The sequence below is a fragment of the Homo sapiens genome, chromosome 11 (assembly GCF_000001405.40).
Source record: "Homo sapiens chromosome 11, GRCh38.p14 Primary Assembly".
Classification (NCBI taxonomy): Eukaryota; Metazoa; Chordata; class Mammalia; order Primates; family Hominidae; genus Homo; species Homo sapiens.
This window is the reverse complement of record NC_000011.10, coordinates 74,112,060-74,130,403: the sequence shown is the minus strand read 5'-3', so window position 1 is coordinate 74,130,403 and position 18,344 is coordinate 74,112,060. Positions and strand designations below refer to the sequence as shown.

At 40.1% G+C, this 18,344-nt stretch overlaps 1 protein-coding gene across 2 annotated transcripts in view; it reads left to right on the top strand.

Moving 5' to 3' along the window:
• C2CD3 (C2 domain containing 3 centriole elongation regulator) overlaps positions 1 to 18,344 on the top strand; it is a 158,285-nt gene that overhangs the window by 40,599 nt on the left and 99,342 nt on the right. For both annotated transcript variants that reach the window (NM_001286577.2, NM_015531.6), the window contains exons 8-11: positions 7,269 to 7,416; positions 12,022 to 12,176; positions 15,811 to 16,020; positions 16,512 to 16,624. In NM_001286577.2, the coding sequence (NP_001273506.1) occupies positions 7,269 to 7,416; positions 12,022 to 12,176; positions 15,811 to 16,020; positions 16,512 to 16,624 (626 nt within the window). The remainder of the gene's footprint in view (positions 1 to 7,268; positions 7,417 to 12,021; positions 12,177 to 15,810; positions 16,021 to 16,511; positions 16,625 to 18,344) is intronic.

Genomic DNA, 18,344 nt, shown 5'->3' with positions numbered 1-18,344 from the left:
AATAAAAAAGATTAGCTAGGTATGGTGGCATATGACTGTAGTCCTAGCTACTCAGGAGACTGAGGCAGGAGGATTACTTGAGCCCAGGAGTTCAAGGATACAATGAGCTAGGATTACACCACCGTATTCCAGCTTCAGCGACAAAGCGAGACCTGTTTCTAAAAAAAAAAAAAAAAAGTTGGACCCTTATCTCACACCATGTACAAAAATTAACTCAAAATGGATCAAACAGCCCCTCTCCCCTCTCCCCTCTCCCCTCTCCCTCTCCCTCTCCCTCTCCCCCTCCCCACGGTCTCCCTCTCCCTCTCCCTCTCCCCACGGTCTCCGTCTCCCTCTCTTTCCACGGTCTCCCTCTGATGCCGAGCTGAAGCTGGACTGTACTGCTGCCATCTCGGCTCACTGCAACCTCCCTGCTGATTCTCCTGCCTCAGCCTGCCGAGTGCCTGCGATTGCAGGCGCGCGCCGCCACGCCTGACTGGTTTTCGTATTTTTTTGGTGGAGATGGGGTTTCTCTGTGTTGGCCGGCTGGTCTGCAGCTCCTAACCGCGAGTGATCCGCCAGCCTCGGCCTCACGAGGTGCCGGGATTGCAGACGGAGTCTCGTTCACGCAGTGCTCAATGGTGCCCAGGCTGGAGTGCAGTGGCGTGATATCGGCTCGCTACAACCTCCACCTCCCAGCCGCCTGCCTTGGCCTCCCAAAGTGCCGAGATTGCAGCCTCTGCCCGGCCGCCACCCCGTCTGGGAAGTGAGGAGCGTCTCTGCCTGGCCGCCCATCGTCTGGGATGTGAGGATCCCCTCTGCCTGGCTGCCCAGTCTGGAAAGTGAGGAGCGTCTCTGCCCGCCCGCCATCCCATCTAGGAAGTGAGGAGCGCCTCTTCCCGGCCGCCATCCCATCTAGGAAGTGAGGAGTGTCTCTGCCCGGCCACCCATCGTCTGAGATGTGGGGAGCGCCTCTGCCCCGCCGCCCCGTCTGGGATGTGAGGAGCGCCTCTGCCCGGCCGCGACCCCGTCTGGGAGGTGAGGACCGTCTCTGCCCAGCCGCCCCGTCTGAGAAATGAGGAGACCTCTGCCCGGCAGCCACCCCATCTGAGAAGTGAGGAGCCCCTCCGCCCAGCAGCCGCCCCGTCTGAGAAGTGAGGAGCCCCTCCGCCCAGCAGCCACCCCGTCTGGGAAGTGAGGAGCGTCTCCGCCCGGCAGCCACCCCGTCCCGGAGGGAGGTGAGGGGTCAGCTCCCCGCCCGGCCAGCCGCCCCGTCCGGGAGGTGAGGGGCGCCTCTGCCCGGCCGCCCCTACTGGGAAGTGAGGAGCCCCTCTGCCCGGCCACCACCCTGTCTGGGAGGTGTACCCAACAGCTCATTGAGAACGGGCCATGATGACAATGGCGGTTTTGTGGAATAGGAAAGGGGGAAAGGTGGGGAAAAGATTGAGAAATCGGATGGTTGCTGTGTCTGTGTAGAAAGAAGTAGACATGGGAGACTTTTCATTTTGTTCTGTACTACGAAAAATTCTTCTGCCTTGGGATCCTGTTGATCTATGACCTTATCCCCAACCCTGTGCTCTCTGAAACATGTGCTGTGTCCACTCAGGGTTGAATGGATTAAGGGCGGTGCAAGATGTGCTTTGTTAAACAGATGCTTGAAGGCAGCATGCTCGTTAAGAGTCATCACCACTCCCTAATCTCAAGTACCCAGGGACACAAACACTGCGGAAGGCCGCAGGGTCCTCTGCCTAGGAAAACCAGAGACCTTTGTTCACTTGTTTATCTGCTGACCTTCCCTCCACTATTGTCCTATGACCCTGCCAAATCCCCCTCTGCGAGAAACACCCAAGAATGATCAATAAAAAATAAATAAATAAATAAATAAATAAAATGTATCAAACAGCTAAATGGAAGAGCTAAAACTATAAAACTCTTAGAGAAAACATAAAGGTAAATCTGTGACCTTGAATTTGGGAAATGATTCTTAGATATGACACCAAAAGCACAAACAAGAAAAGATACATAAATTGGATTCCATCAAAATTAAAAACGTATGTGCTTCAAAGGACACTATGAAAGTGAGAAGACACCACAGAAAGGGAAAAAATATTTACAAATCTTACATCTGATACAGGACTTATATATAGAACATATAAATAACTTATATGACTTAATAATTAAGGAACAAATAATCCAATTAAAAATATGGGCAATGGATCTGAATAAACATTTGTCCAAAAAATATATTAAGATAGCCAATATGGCTGGGCGTGGTGGCTCACGCCTGTGATCCCGGCACTTTGGGAGGCCGAGGCAGGCGGATCACGAGGTCAGGAGATCGAGACCATCCTGGCTAACACAGTGAAACCCCATCTCTACTGAAAACACAAAAAAATTAGCCAGGTGTGGTAGCAGGCGCCTGTAGTCCTAGCTACTAAGGAGGCTGAGGCAGGAGAATGGCATGAACCCAGGAGGCGGAGCTTGCAGTGAGCCGAGATCGCGCCACTACACTCCAGCCTGGGCGACAGAGTGAGACTCCGTCTCAAAAAAAAAAAAAGCCAATATACACATGAAAAGATGCTTGACACCATTTGTTATCGGGAAATCAAGACAATGAGATACTACTTCACACCCACTAAAGTCAAATAGTCTATGCATTAATGAGGATGTGGAGAATTTGAAACCCTGGTACACTGCTGGCAGGAATGTAAAATGATGAAGCTACTTTGGAAAATAGTCTGTCCACTCCTCAAACTCGTACCTATAGATTTACCATATGACAGAAAACAATAAAATTTTTAAACAAATGTTTACCATGTGACCCAGCAATTCAACTCCTAGCTATATACCCAAGGGAAACTACAACATACATCTATGTAAAAATGTGTACATGAATGTTCATACCAGCATTATTCAACTGGATAGTCACATGCAAAAAAAAAAAAAAATTAAGCAACCCCAATATTGAAACAACCTAAATGTCTATCAGCTGATGAATGGATTAAGAAATCTGGAGTATCCATACAGTAGAGTAGTGTTTTCACCTTTGGCCATCAAGGTGAAGTACTGCTACATGCTACAGCATGGATGAACCTTAAAAACATGCTAATTGAAAGAAGCCAGGCCGGGCGCAGTGTGGTAGCTCACACCTGTGATCTGGCAGGCCGAGTTGGGAGAATCGCTTTAGCTCAGGAGTTCAAGACCAGCCTGGGCAACAGGGGGAGACCCCATCTCTACAAAAAGTAAAAAATTAGCCTGGTGTGGTGGCGTATGCCTGTGGTCCTGCCTACTCAGAAGGCTGAGGTAGGAGGATCAGTTGAGACTGGGAGGTTGAGGCTGCAGTAAGCTGTGATTGCAACACTGTACTCCAGCCTGGGTTGTAGAGCAAGACCTTGTCTCAGATAAAAAGAAGCCAGTCACAAACAAATATATATACTTTTATTTCATTTAGATGAAATGTCCAAATAGGCAAATCTATAGAAACAGAAAATAGATTAATAGTTCCTTAGGGCTGGGAGTGATGATGGGTAGGGTAGTGATAGCTGAAGGTTATGGAGTTTCTTTTTGAGATGATGAAAATGTTTTAAAATTGAGTGGTGATGGTTGGTCACATTTATGAACATACTAAAAACTATTGAATTGCTCACTTTATTTATTTAGTCTTTTTATTTTTATTTTTTTGAGACAGAGTTTTGCTTTGTCACCCAGGCTGGAGTGCAGTGGCGCAACCTCAGCTAACTGCAACCTCCACTTTCTGGGTTCAAGCGATTCTCCTGCCTCAGCTTCCCGAGTAGCTGGGATTGCAGGCGCATGCCACCATGCCCAGCTAATTTTTTGTATCTTTAGTAGAGATGGGGTTTCACCGTGTTGGCCAGGCTGGTCTTGAACTCCTGACCTCAAGTCTTCCGCCGGCCTCGGCCTCCCAAAGTGCTGGGATTACAGGCGTGAGCACCATGTCTGACCAAATTGCTCACTTTAAATGGGAAGATTGTATGGTATGTGAATTATATCTCAATAAAGCTGTTTATGGAAAAAGAAAGATCAAGAACTCAGAACAGTGAATGAAAAAAGATACACCAAGACACATAATTATGAAATTTTAAAATACTGAGAGACCATATTAAAAGCTTCCAGAGAGGGAGAAAGAATAAAGGTCACATATACAGTATCAGGAATTGGAATGACATCAGATTTTCTACCAGTTCCTTGGAATTCAGTGCAGAAATGTCTTAAGATTCTGAAGTAAAATTATTTTCAACCTAAAATTCCACTCCTAATCAAACTATTAATCAAGTGTGAGGGTAGAGTAAAAATAACTTTATTTATCCATAGTCTCAGAAGTTTACCTGTCTTGCACTATTCCTCAGAAAACCACAGGAAAATGTCTTCTACTGAACATTTATTTTAGGAAGAAAGAGTAAGACATATAGTCTAAGAAATAGGGGCTACAACACAGAAGAGGGATAGAAGGAGATTTCGGGTATATGTCATAGAGAGAGAGCAAACAGTCCATATTGGGGCATCCCTGACTTCAGTAGGGATGTTTCTAAGGAGTGCAGAGGTGGAGGGGAATGGAACATATATTGACCAAATTTTAAGTTCTCTCAAAGGAAATTTTCAATTCTCTTGAAGAGTTCACTCGTAAAGTAGTAATAGAGTCAAAGAAAACTAAGCAAATGAAAAGGCAGTTAATTTATACCAGGGATAATTAGTTGTATAAGAAAAAAGGTGCAATAAATTATACTGTACTTGGCTCTGATACAATATTAACCCTGAAAATTAATTTAACCAAAAAATTTGTAATATAACTAAATAGAGAAGATGGGTAAAAGGGAAATGTGTGGTTCAAGTGTAATGGTATAAGAGAGTGGGTCCTTCATTTTTCATAATAGGAAGTTCATAGATCATACAGAAAAGTGAAAAATCAGAAAATAACAGTATATTAATGTGTCACTTCAAAATATAGAGGTAAAGCCAGGCATGGGGGCTCACACCTGTAATTCCAGTATTTTGGGAGGCTATGTCAGATCGTTTAGTTCAAGACCAGCCTGGGCAACATAATGAGGCCCAGTCTCTACAAAAATTTTTAATTAGCCGAGTGTATTGGTGTGCACCTGTAATCCTAGCTACTACTAGGGAGGCTGAGACAGGAGGAACCCTTGAGCCCAGGAGTTCGAGGCTTCAGTGAGCTATGATCACACCAGTGCACTCCAGGCTGGGCAATAAAGCAATACCATGTCTCTAATACAATTTTTAAAAAGAGAAATATGAAGGTAAATACCAGAAGAAGCATCCAAGGGAATTGAAAGTGATCACCTCTGAGGAGTCAGTCAGCTACTGTTTTTTATTATAAGCCTTGTAGTCGTATTTGACTTTCAAAATAGGTATGTGTATTCTTTTATTTAAAATTATGTCTAAGAAGAAAAAGAAAAGGATAGTCATGAGAATAGGCTTATTTTATGGCCAAGGAACACAGGCAAATTTTAGCCCTTTTAGTATATCATAGACAGGTGAATAAATTCAAATAAATATTAATTTCAAAAAAGAGTAAAAAGTGGAAAAGTCTTCATAACTTTTAAGGGTGTACAAAGTGGGGAATAACAAGCAACTGGAAAAATTTTCATAACTTTAAGGGTATACAAAGGGGAGTGTATATGTGACAAATAATACAGTTATATAAAAGAACAAAAAGTAAAGTTTCAAAATGAAGTAGGTCTCAAACTCCTGGGCTGCAGAAGCTGCAGAGAGGCCATGTCGACTGGGAAGTTGTTAGTTGGATTATGGCAGTTAGGAAGCTGTTCTGACCTTTGAGAGTTACTATAGATTGATGGTTTTCAAGGAGGGGGTGATTTTTCCCCACCCCAACCCCATGAGACATTTACAGTGTCTGGAGACATTTCTCGGTTGTCACAACTGGGAACGTGCTACTGGCATCTGGTAAGTGGAGGCCAGGGATCTGAAATGCATAGGACAGTCCCAAAGATAAAGAATTGTCTGACCCAACATGTCAGCAGGGCTGAGATTGAGAAACCCTGCTGTAGCCTAAGGAAAGGTGAGGAAGGGAATGTTAACTATCTGCTTGTTCAAAATAATATAAGAACACTGTCTAATTTGAAGGTAGTGATTATATACTATTTTCTTGAGAAATTAAGGAAAAAAGTATAGCAGCTAGCTTGAAAGGAAGCAACATGGAAAGAAATAATAAATAAAATGTGTATTACAGTACCTGGCATCATGTTCATTAAGAAATCATTAAGTTCACTAACAGGTGCTTATTAAATGTTAATTACTGTAGGAGAAACAGAAATATATGCATACTTTGCCCTCAAGGAGCCTAAACTTTGAGGGAAAATATGGAATTTATACAAGGACCTGAAAGAAAGTTAGAAAGTAAAAATTGCTATCAAAAAAGGGACCAGTAATCCCAGCACTTTGGGAGGCCAAGGTGGGTGGATCACCTAAGGAGTTAGAGACCAGCCTGGCCAACATGGTGAAACCCCATCTCTAAAAATACAAAAATTAGCCAGGCATGGTGGCAGGCACCTATAATCCCAGCTACTAGGGAAGCTAAGGCAGGAGAATCACTTGAACCCAGGAGGCAGAGGTTGCAGTGAGCCTAGATCATGCCATGGCACTCCAGCCTGGGCAATAAGAGCAAAACTCCACCTCAAAAAAAAAAAAAAAAAAGATACCAGCGTGGGATTTCAAAAAAAAAAGGAGTATTTGTTCCTTCAAAATTCTGAGTTTATAGTTACTTATATGCTTATCTTCCTATTAGTTTGTAAACTGTGTTTTATTCATTTTTTGTATTCGATATAGAACTAATATCACCATAATTAGTCCTAAATACACGTATTTTTGTTTATTGGAAGTGGGTGTATCTGTGAATTTTTTGCAAAATCGATATATAATATTTAACTCATTGAATTATACCCTTTTTTCTCCCTATCAGACTATAAATAATACAAGAGTACAGATTGTGTTAGCTTAGCCACCTCTATATCTTCCAGGACCTAGCACATAATAAGTGACCAATAAATGTTTGTTGAATACATGAATGAGATCACAATCAGTGTCAGTAGTGTGTTTCTGAATACTGGTTGTTAGCATCCCAGAGGAGGGGTAGTATAATTGGGAAATATTTATTCAGTAGTCTTTTGTTTAATGTGAGTCTTTTGTTTAACATATCTCCTTCCACATTTAGAACCTCAGAAAGTTTCACTAAAGAGAGAATAGTTCAGCTGAAACTTCTATTAAAATTCTTCTGCTTTGTTTTCTTATCTCTGCAGTGCTGAATTATCCCAAGGCAATTTCTGGGATGGGCTAGGCTCTCCTCCAGATTCCCCATCTCCTGGGAGTGATGTGTATTGCATCAGTGAGCTGAATGACCCTCAGTATGACCAGAGTCTTCTGGAGAATTTATTTTATACAGCACCTGTAAGTCACTGAACCTGAAGCATTGAGAATTAGAGAACAAATGTATTAATAATATTAGTAGCTGCAGGCATGACAGCTATGCATTTTACATAACTTACCTTACTTAATTTTAATGACAACCTCAAGAGGAAAGTATTATCTTCATTTTACAGATGTTGAGACAGGCCTAGTAGGATTTGAATATTTTGTGCAAGAACATATAGCAAATAAGTATTAGAGCCAGAATTCAAATTCACATTTGCCTGAGTCCAAAGCCTATGGTTTAATTAATATATTTTATGGTTTCCTTAGAGCTTTTATAAGGAAGAGCTGATGTAGTTATACCCTCAGAACCATCCTTAACTGGTATCTGTTAAAAATATTCCAAAAACACTTCTTACTCACAGGAGACAAAACTCTTCTGGCCTGTAAGACAGGGATTCTCTTTTCTGGCAGCTCTGGTTTTTTCAAAGTTCTTTTTTCTATCAAGCCTTATGCTCTTTTCATTGGCTTAGCATCTTCTAGAATCTATACATACTATGTCCAATCCCTGTTCCACAAGTAGTTATTTATATGTGTGAAGGTTCATACTCCTGATTTTCCTTTTCTCCAGGTCAAAAAAAGATACTGAAATACAAGGTAGTTTATATCAGCCCAGTAGTAAGCCAGTGAGGGCTACCACAGTTTGGAAGAAGCAGGGAAAACTTTTACATGAGATTGTGGGGAAAAACCATAATGAAGAATAAAGGGTTTTAACTGAGATTGAAAGATAGTGTTTTGAGAAGCAGAGAAAAGATACAAAATGGGCGTAGAAAGAATGACCTGTGCAGAAAAACACATTTTTGCGCTACAAGGGACCCAATTGACTAGATGAGAATTTGTGTGGAAAAGGAGTTGATAAGGCAGGCTGGCACATTGCAGCCAATCTGTGAAAGGCTTTTCATGTCAGGTGAAGAGGAAATCACATATCACAAGAGTGTTCTAGGAATCTGTGTCTGGCAACCCTACAGTGGGGCAGACTGAAGAGGGAATAACGAGAAGCAGATAGGAAGCCACTGGGCTACGGGAAGCATGAGACAGAATGCCTGAATGAGAGTACCTGCAGTGGAATTGGACAGGAGGTGGTGGACGGGAAAGACATTAGGAACTGTTAGGATTTCATGACTTCCCACCTTCACAGTCATCACTGATACTGTGTTCCCTATAGGATAAAGAGGAAATATTTATTACACATTTATTACCCATTTTCTGTGTGCTAGGGACTTCACATCTTATCTGTCATTTATTAAATACTTGGGGGGGTTGTTTGTTTTGTGTTTTTATGGCTGAAACTAATAGAACACTAAATACTGTTTTTAATTCATTATTTTGTTTAATTCTTTTTTTTTTTTTTTTTTTTTGAGACGGAGTCTCTCATTCTGTCACCCAGTCTGGAGTGCAGAGGCATGATCTCGGCTCACCGCAACCTCCACCTCCCAGGTTCAAGCCATTCTCTTGCCTCAGCCTCCCGAGTAGCTGGGATTACAGGCACATGCCACTGCACCTGGCTAATTTTTGCATTTTTATTAGAGACAGGCCTTCACCATGTTGGCCAGGCTGGTTTTGAACTCCTGACTTCAAGTGGTCCGCGCACCTCAGCCTCCCAAAGTGCTGGGATTACAGGTGTGAGCCATCATGTCCAGCTCTGTCTTATTTAATTCTTTTACCAGCCGCATGAGATAGTATTATCTCTCTTTTACATAGCATGAAACAAAAGCTTAAAGAGGTTAAGTACAAATAATTAAGTGGCAGAACTGGAATTCTCACCGTAGTCTATCTGACAAAAAGCCTGTATGTTTTTCTACTAGACCACAGTGTGTCATCAGCCTTGAGCATGGTGTTAGAATCTGACCCTGACTGACCTCTCTAACTTCATCTCCCACTTATACCCTTTACCCACTGGAGTCTCCAGCCATACTGGAGTCTCAAGCCACTTGCCACTCCTGAAACATTTTAGCTCTTTTTTTTTTTTTTCTGTAGAGACAGGGTCTCACTATGTTGTCCAAGTTGGTCTCAAACTCCTGGCTCAAGCAATTCTCCTGCCTTGGCCTCCCAAAGGGTTGAAATTACAGGCATGAGCCACTGCACCTGGCCTTAGCTCTTGTATCTCCCTATTTTTTGCTGGTACTAATCCTTCTACTTTGAATGTTGAAATGCTCTTAGCCATCTGATAAACTTCATTCTTGAAGGAGAGGATGTGGAGAAATAGGAATGCTTTTACACTGTTAGTGGGAATGTAAAGTAGTTCAACCATTGTGGAAGGCAATGTGGCAATTCCTCAAGGATCTAGAACTAGAATTACCATTTGACCCAGCAATCCTATGACTGGGTGTATACCCAAAGGATTATAAATCATGCTACCATAAAGACACATGCACACATATGTTTATTGCGGCACTATTCACAATAGCAAAGCCTTGGAACCAACCCAAATGTCCATCAGTGATAGACTGGATTAAGAAAATGTGGCACATATACACCGTGGAATACTATGCAGCCATAAAAAAGGATGAGGTCATGTCCTTTGCAGGGACATGGATGCAGCTGGAAACCATCATTCTGAGCAAGCTATCACAAGGACAGAAAACCAAACACCGCCTGTTCTCACTCATAGGTGGGAATTGAACAATGAGTTCACTTAGACACGGGGCGGGGAACATCACACACCAGGGCCTGTAGGGTGGTTGGGGGCTGGGGGAAGGATAGCATTAGGAGGAATACCTAATGTAAATGATGAGTTGATGGGTGCCACAAACCAACATGGCACATGTATACATATGTAACAAACCTGCACGTTGTGCACATGTACCCTAGAACTTAAAGTATAATTAAAAAAAAAAAAGGAAGTAATCTTACAATCATGCTGTTCAATGTAGCTAGTAGCCACATGCCACTGCTTAAATTAGTTGACATTATATAAAATTTAAAATTTATTTTTCAGTTGCACTAGTCAATAACCATTTTTAAAAGCTGCCACTCAAAGGATAACTTAAAGGCAAAAATCTTTGTAATTTTGCCTTTTAAAAGTTGTATTGTGGTGGTGTGGTGGCTCATGCCTGTAATCCCAGCACTTCAGGAGGCCAAAGTGGGCAGATCACTTAAGGTCAGGAGTTCGAGACCAGCCTGGACAACATGGTGAAACCCTGTCTCTACTAAATATACAAAAATTAGCCAGATATGGTGGCACATTCCTTTAGTCCCAGCTACTTGGGAGACTGAGGCATGAGAATCACTGGAACCTGGGAGGCAGAGGTTGCAGTGAGCGGAGATTGCGCCACTGCACTCCAGCCTGGGCAACAGACTGAGACTCCATCTCAAAAAAAAAAAAAAAAAAGTTGTATTGCTTCCAAGAAGACATTCTTATCATGCTTATTTAAATTAATTTGTCCCCCTATCACAGATCAACACATTATACCCCCTGACATGCTGAAAAAAGGGTAATTTTAAATGATAGACTTAAAATAACTTTGGGTTTGTGTCCTGAATTTATATTATATTAGCAAGCTTTATGTCTTTTTTTAAAAATGGAACCCAGTAACTATAATGCCATCTTCTCTCTTTATTTTACATTTTGTGATGTAGAGGGCTGATCAGTCCATTGCAGTAGCTGCCTTTTCTCAAAATAAAAATGAATTGCAAGGGGCTTAGCCATTGGTTCTCTCATTAAGAAAATTTGTGACTATAGTAAACAGTTCATTTTAGCAAGATTAAAAGCAGAATGAATCATTTGTAGTATAGAATGGTGACAAAAAGTAGTCTTGGCTGGGTACGGTGGCTCATGCCTGTAATTCCAGCACTTTGGGAGGCTGAGATGGGCAGATCACTTGAGCCCAGGAGTTTAAGACCTGCCTGAGCAACATGGCCAAACTTCCTCTCTACAAAAAATACAAAAATTAGTCAGGTGTGGTGGCTCATGTCTGTAGTCCCAGCTACTTGGGAGGCTGAGGTAAGAGGATCACATGAGCCCCAGGGAGGTCAGGGTTGCAGTGAGCTGTGATTGTGCCACTGCACTCCAGTCTGGGCAACACGGTGAGACCCTGTCTCAAAAAAAAAAAAAAAAAAAATAGTCTATCCAGATGATTAGGTGACATCGTCCAAGTCATTTGGCCTCAAACTATGGTAGAAATACAGGCTTTGAAGCCCATGGAGATCAAAATCTGGCTTTACAGCTATGGATCATAAACAAGCTGCCTTACTTTTTTCAGCTCTGATTTTCTCACTTGTAAAAACTGACATAAAGGTACCTTGTCGGAATGTGGTGAATATTAGAAATATACATGTAGCATTAAGCATAATACCAGACATATGGTCTATAGTCAATAAATAATAGTTATTATTATTGAGAATTTGAAAGAAGAATCTACCTTCCTTTATTTGCTTTGAACTGAACTTGTAGGTTATTTTTGTGAACTTCAGATTATTTTTGTATAACCAGGAGAAATATGGGATTATCTCCCTGGTGTCAGTTCTTTCTTTAAGAGAATGATGTATGTACAGAGAAGAACTTGCTTTCTTTAGAGAAATGTTTCGTAGCTACAATTCCCAAAGCAGCAGTCATTTAGTGTCTCTGTTTCTTCCTCTCCATAGAAATCTGATACCAGCATCAGTGATTTCCTCAGTGAAGAGGATGATATCGTCCCTTCTAAAAAAATAAGCCAGTCAACAGCTCTTGCCAGATCATCTAAGGTTCTGGAGTCAAGTGATCATAAGCTGAAGAAGAGGTCAGCAGGCAAGAGAAATAGGTGAGCTGCTCTGACTGTTTATTTAAAGGTAAACACAAAGGAATGTTATTTTCACAAGATCTCCCAAGGTGAAATGACCCATTTGCCCAGCACCATCAGAGTGATTAATTACAATAACTCAGTAAACATTGTAATTCTTAAAAATGTAATAATCTGAAAAGATGGCTAAATTTGTTTTCCATAGGTTTTGGGGAACAGGTGGTGTTTGATTACCTGAATAAGTTCTTTAGTGGTGATTTCTGAGATTTTGGTGCTCCCATCACCCAAGCAATATGACACTGTACCCAATTTGTAGTCTTTTTTTTTTTTTTTTTGAGACGGAGTTTCGCTCTTGTTTCCCAGACTGGAGTGCAATGGCACGATCTCAGATCACCGCAACCTCCACCTCCCAGATTGAAGCAATTCTTCTGCCTCAGCCTCCCGAGTAGCTAGGATTACAGGCATGTGCCCCCATGCCCGACTAATTTTGTATTTTTAGTAGAGACGGCGTTTCTCCATGTTGGTCAGGTTGGTCTTGAACTCCCAACCTCAGGTGATCCGCCCACCTTGGCCTCCCAAAGTGCTGGGATTACAGTTGTGAGCCACCACACCCGGCCTCCAATTAGTAGTCTTTTATCCCTCACCTTCTTCCCACTCTTGCCCTCAGTTTCCAAAGTCCATTGTATCATTCTTATGCCTTTGCATCCTCATAGCTTTGCTTCCACTTATGAGTGAGAACATATGATATTTGGTTTTCTGTTCCTGAGTTACTTCACTTAGAAAAATGGTCTCCAATTCCATCTAGGTTGCTGCAAATGCCATTATTTCATTTCCTTTTTATAGTTGAGTAGTATTCCATATATATATATATATATATATATATATATTTGAGGCCAAATGACTTAGACGATGTCACCTAATTATTTGGGTAGACTACTTTTTTTTTTTTGAGACGGGGTCTCACTATGTTGCCCAGGCTGGAGTGCAGTGGCACAATCACAGCTCACTCATATATATATATTCATATATATATATTCATATATATATATTCATATATATATATTCATATATATATATTCATATATATATATTCATATATATATATTCATATATATATATTCATATATATATATTCATATATATATATTCATATATATATATTCATATATATATTCATATATATATATTCATATATATATACACACACACGTATATATACATATACACGTATATATGTGTATATATACATATACACGTATATGTGTATATATACGTGTATATGTGTATATACACATATATACGTGTATATGTGTATATACACGTGTATATGTATATATACATACACGTGTGTATATATACACGTGTGTATATATACATATACACGTGTATATACACATATACACGTGTATATATACACACACGTATATATGTGTGTGTATATATATACGTGTGTGTGTGTATATATATACACACATATATGTATACCACAATTTCTTTATCCATTCATTGATTGATGGGCATTTAGGCTGGTTCCATATTTTTGCAATTGCAAATTGTGCTGCTATAAGCATGCAAGTACAAGTATCTTTTTCATATAGTGACTTCTTTTCCTCTGGGTAGATACCTAGAAGTAGGATTGCTGGGTCAAATGGTAGTTCTACTTTTAGTTCTTTAAGGAATGTCCACACTGTTTTCCATGGTAGTTGTACTAGTTTACATTCCCACCAGCAGTGTAATAGTGTTCCCTTTTCACCACATCCTCACCAACATTCTTTTTTTTTTTAATTTTTTATTATGGCCATTCTTGCAGGAGTAAAGTGGTATCGCATTGTGGTTTTGATTTGCATTTCCCTGATCATTAGTGATGTTGAGCATATTTTCATACGTTTGTTGGCCATTTGTATATCTTCTTTTGAGAATTGTTTATTCATGTCCTTAGACCACTTTTTGATGGGATTGTTTGATTTTTTCTTGCTAATTTGTTTGCATTCCTTATAGATTCTGGATATTAGTCCTTTGTCAGATGTATAGATTGTGAAGATTTTCTCCCATTCTGTGGGTTGTCTGTTTACTCTGCCGACTGTTTCTTTTGCTGTGCAGAAGCTTTTTAGTTTAATTAAGTCCCATCTATTTATCTTTGTTTTTGTTGCATTTGCTTTTGGGTTCTTGGATATGAAGTCTTTGTCTAAACCATGTCTAGAAGGGTTGTTCCATTGTTATCTTCTAGAATTTTTATGATTTGAGGTCTTAGATTTAAGTCCTTGATCCATCTTGAGTCGATAGTTTTATAAGGTGAGAGATGAACATCCAGTTTCATTCTTCTACATGTGGCTTGCCAATTGTCCCAGCACCATTTGTTGAATAGGGTGTCCTTTCACCACTTTATGTTTTTGTTTGCTTTGTTGAAGATCAGTTGGCTATAAGTATTTGGCTTTATTTCTGGATTCTCTATTCTGTTCCATTGGTCTATGTGTCTATTTTTATACCAATACCATGCTGTTTTGGTGACTGTGGCCTTATAGTATAGTTTGAAGTCAGGTAATGTGATGCCTCCAGATTTGTTCTTTTTGCTTAATCTTGCTTTGGCTATGTGGGCTCTTTTTTGGTTCCATATGAATTTTAACATTTTTTTTCCTAGTTCTGTGAAGAATGATGAGGGTATTTTGATGGGAATTGCACTGAATTTGTAGATTGCTTTTGGCAGTATGGTCGTTTTCATATTTTTGATTCTACCAAGATAGGTATAATTTAAATGGTTAAGGAAGAAAGCAGAATTCTAGGTTGTATGTGTACTGTGATCACAACTGTGTAGAAAATATGCATAAGGAAAGCAAATGAGAAGGAATACACAAAAGTGACAATAGTAGTTACATTAGAATAGTGGGTAACTGAAATAAGGTCTGTGTCCCTTCTAGAAAAACCTAAATTTGGAGTTTCAGTTTCTGTACTCATATGTATTGTATAATGTATGTGTGTGTATATATGTTGTGTGTGTATAAGTGTGTGTATATATATGTATGTATATATATATGTATGTATGTGTGTGTGTGTGTGTATATATCTATATAGTATTTTTAAATTTTTTTTTTACCTGGGAGCATAGATTCAAATTACCCTGAATATACACTCTCAAACCTTTAGATTATATTTTTTTTTTACATTTTTTGAGATTTCTTGTACTATAGGACCAGAATTCTGATAATAAAAGCTGTTTCCAATCCTTGATAACTTGTGAGTCAAGATACTTGGCTGGGTGTGGTTGTTCACACCTGTAATCCCAGCACTTTGGGAGGCTGAGGCAGGAGGATTGCTTGAGTCCGGGAGTTCAAGACCAGCCTGGGCAACATAGTAATATCTCATCTCTACAAAAAATACAAAAATTAGCCAAGTGTGATGACCCATGCTTGTGGTCCCAGCTACTTGGGAAGTTGAGGTGGGAGGATCATTTGAGCCCAGGAGGTCAAGGCTGCAGTAAGCCATGATCGTGCCACTGCACTCCAGCCTGGGTGACAGAGCAACACCCTGTGTCAAAAATAAAAATAAAAAAATAAAAACTTGCTGCCCTCCCTTTTTCCTCATCTTGCCTGTGCAAACTAGATTGTTTCATGTGAAGCCTGTAGCAGTATGCCTCACTGCTTGTGTGAACTCCTTTCAGAAATTTGGTTGAACAACAGATGCTCTCAGAAACTCCAGAAGATGCCCAAACGATGACACTAAGTGTGGATAGACTGGCCCTTTTGGGTAGAACACATTCAGTCAGAATCATCATCGAAACCATGGGAGTTCCTCCAGATAGTCCTCAGATGACCCCTGGCAAAAAAAGCTATGCTGGTCCACCACCTAAGGTGACTACAGCAAAAAAGCGGTATGTCTCTAACATGAGAAAGCTAAATTTGACATTTTTGGAAAGTGTGTCTGATGGTAATAATCAACAATTGCATAATACTGTGATTTGGGATGTGTTTTCATATGCATCATTTAATCTACAGAAATATATTGAATCCCTGCTATATCCCAAGAACTGTGTAAGTAAGTATGGGACTAAAGAAAATTAAGATACAGACTCTGTTCTTACATATCTTACAGTTAGCAGGAGAGAGAAACATTTAAATGGCTATCTATAACATAAAGCTTTAGGGCCCAAAATAGATGTTTTGTATTAAAATTGCTGTGGGAACACAAGAAAGGGAGCCTTTGATTCTCTCAGACAGGGTTGGTGGAAGGCTTTGAAGAAGAGGTAGGGCCTCTGAGTACTAGAGGTCCTGAAAGTAAGATTTCAAATATATGTTGGATTTATCAGACGGAAATTAGGTTTATTGTTTGGTTAGTTTTTAATCACTTTTTTTTTCTTTTTAGCACTTTCTTTGTAGAATATCACTTTCCTGTGGGCTTTTCGGAAAGCGGATTGGGAAAGACAGCTTTGATCACTGAGGTTGTTCGACTCGCCTCCAGTAAAATTACAGATGGAAGTAAGAGACACACTGGTTTTCTGCACCTTAGACATTCTGACTTTGGAAGAATTTTTGAATTCCTAATTACTCATTTGACTTTTTTTTTTTTTTTTTTTTTGACATGGAGTCTCACTCTTTCGCCCAGGCTGGAGTGTGGTGGCGCAATCTCTGCTCACTGCAGCCTCCACCTCCCGGGTTCAAGTGATTCTCCCATCTCAGCCTCCTGAGTAGCTGGGATTACAGGCGTATGCCACCACACCCAGCTAATTTTTGTATTTTTTAGTAGAGACAGGGTTTCACCATGTTGGCCAGGGTGGTCTCAAACCCCTGACCTTAAGTGATCCGCCTGCCTCGGCCTCCCAAAGTGCTGGGATTACAGGCATAAGCCATCACGCCCAGCCAATATTTTCAAGGCTGTGCAACCATCACCACAATCTAATTTTAGAACATTTTCATCCCCCCTAAAAGAAACCCCATACTTACTAGCATTCGCTTCGCATTTCCCTCTTCCCCCAGCCCTAAGCAACTGCTAATCTTTCTTTCCCTATCAATTTGTCCATTCTGGATGTCTCATATAAATGGAATCATGCAACTTGTGATTTTTGTGACTACTGTCTTTGACTTACCATAATATTTTTAAGTTTCATGTTATAGTATATATCAGTACTTCATTCCTTTCTATGGCTGAGTAATACTCCATTGCATAGATATACCACATTTCATTTATCCTTTTCTCAGTTGCTGGACATTCGTGTTATTTCCACTTCCTGGCAATTTTGCATAATGCTGCTATGTGAACATTTGTGTACGTGGTTTTGTATGGACTGTGTGCTTTCATTTCCCTTGGGTATATATCTAATGGTAGAATTGCTGGGTCATATGGTAACTTTATGTTTTAACTTTTTCAAGAACTGCCAGACTGTTTTCAACAGTGGCTGCACCATTTTCCCACTAGCAGTATATGAAGGTTCTAATTTGTCTACATCCTCGTCAACACTTGTTACTTTCCATTCTTTTTTATTCTGGTCATCCTGGTGGATGTGAAGTGACATCACATTGATTTTGATTTGCATTTTCCTGATGGCCAATCATGTCAAGCATCTTTTCATGTGCTTATTGGCCATTTATAGATCTTCTTTGGAGAAATGTCTATTCAGATCCTTTGTTCACTTTCAAATCAGGCTTTTTGTTATTGAGTTATAAGAGTTCTTTGTATATCCTAGATACAAGCCCCTTATCAGATCTATGATTTGCAAATATTTTCTCCCATTCTGTGGGTTGTCCTTTCACTCTCTAGATGGTATTGTTTACAGCACAAAAGTTTTTAATTTTTATGTACTCTAGTTTATCTGTTTTTTTTTCTTTTGTTGCTTAGGCTTTTGGTGTTGTCTTTTTTTTCTAATTTGTTTTAAATATTTCAGATACAGAAAAAGGATAATATAATAGACATTTATGTTCCTGCCACCCAAAATTACAGCCACTTTTCTAATATATTCTGAGGATAGCTTTGCCTTGGTTCTCCAGTTTGATCTATGAATAGTTAGTTCATCAGTGTTAAGTTTATTCTCTGGGAAGTAGTTTGAGAAATAAAAGATGTGGTCCTAACACTCCTACTACATAGTCAAATAACTTTTCCTTTACAGCATAGTAACACGGGATTTTTAAATTTTTACTTTGCTTTGTTTTGTTTCCTTTTTGAAATAGATAATCCATTCACATGGTTCAAAATTGAACGGTT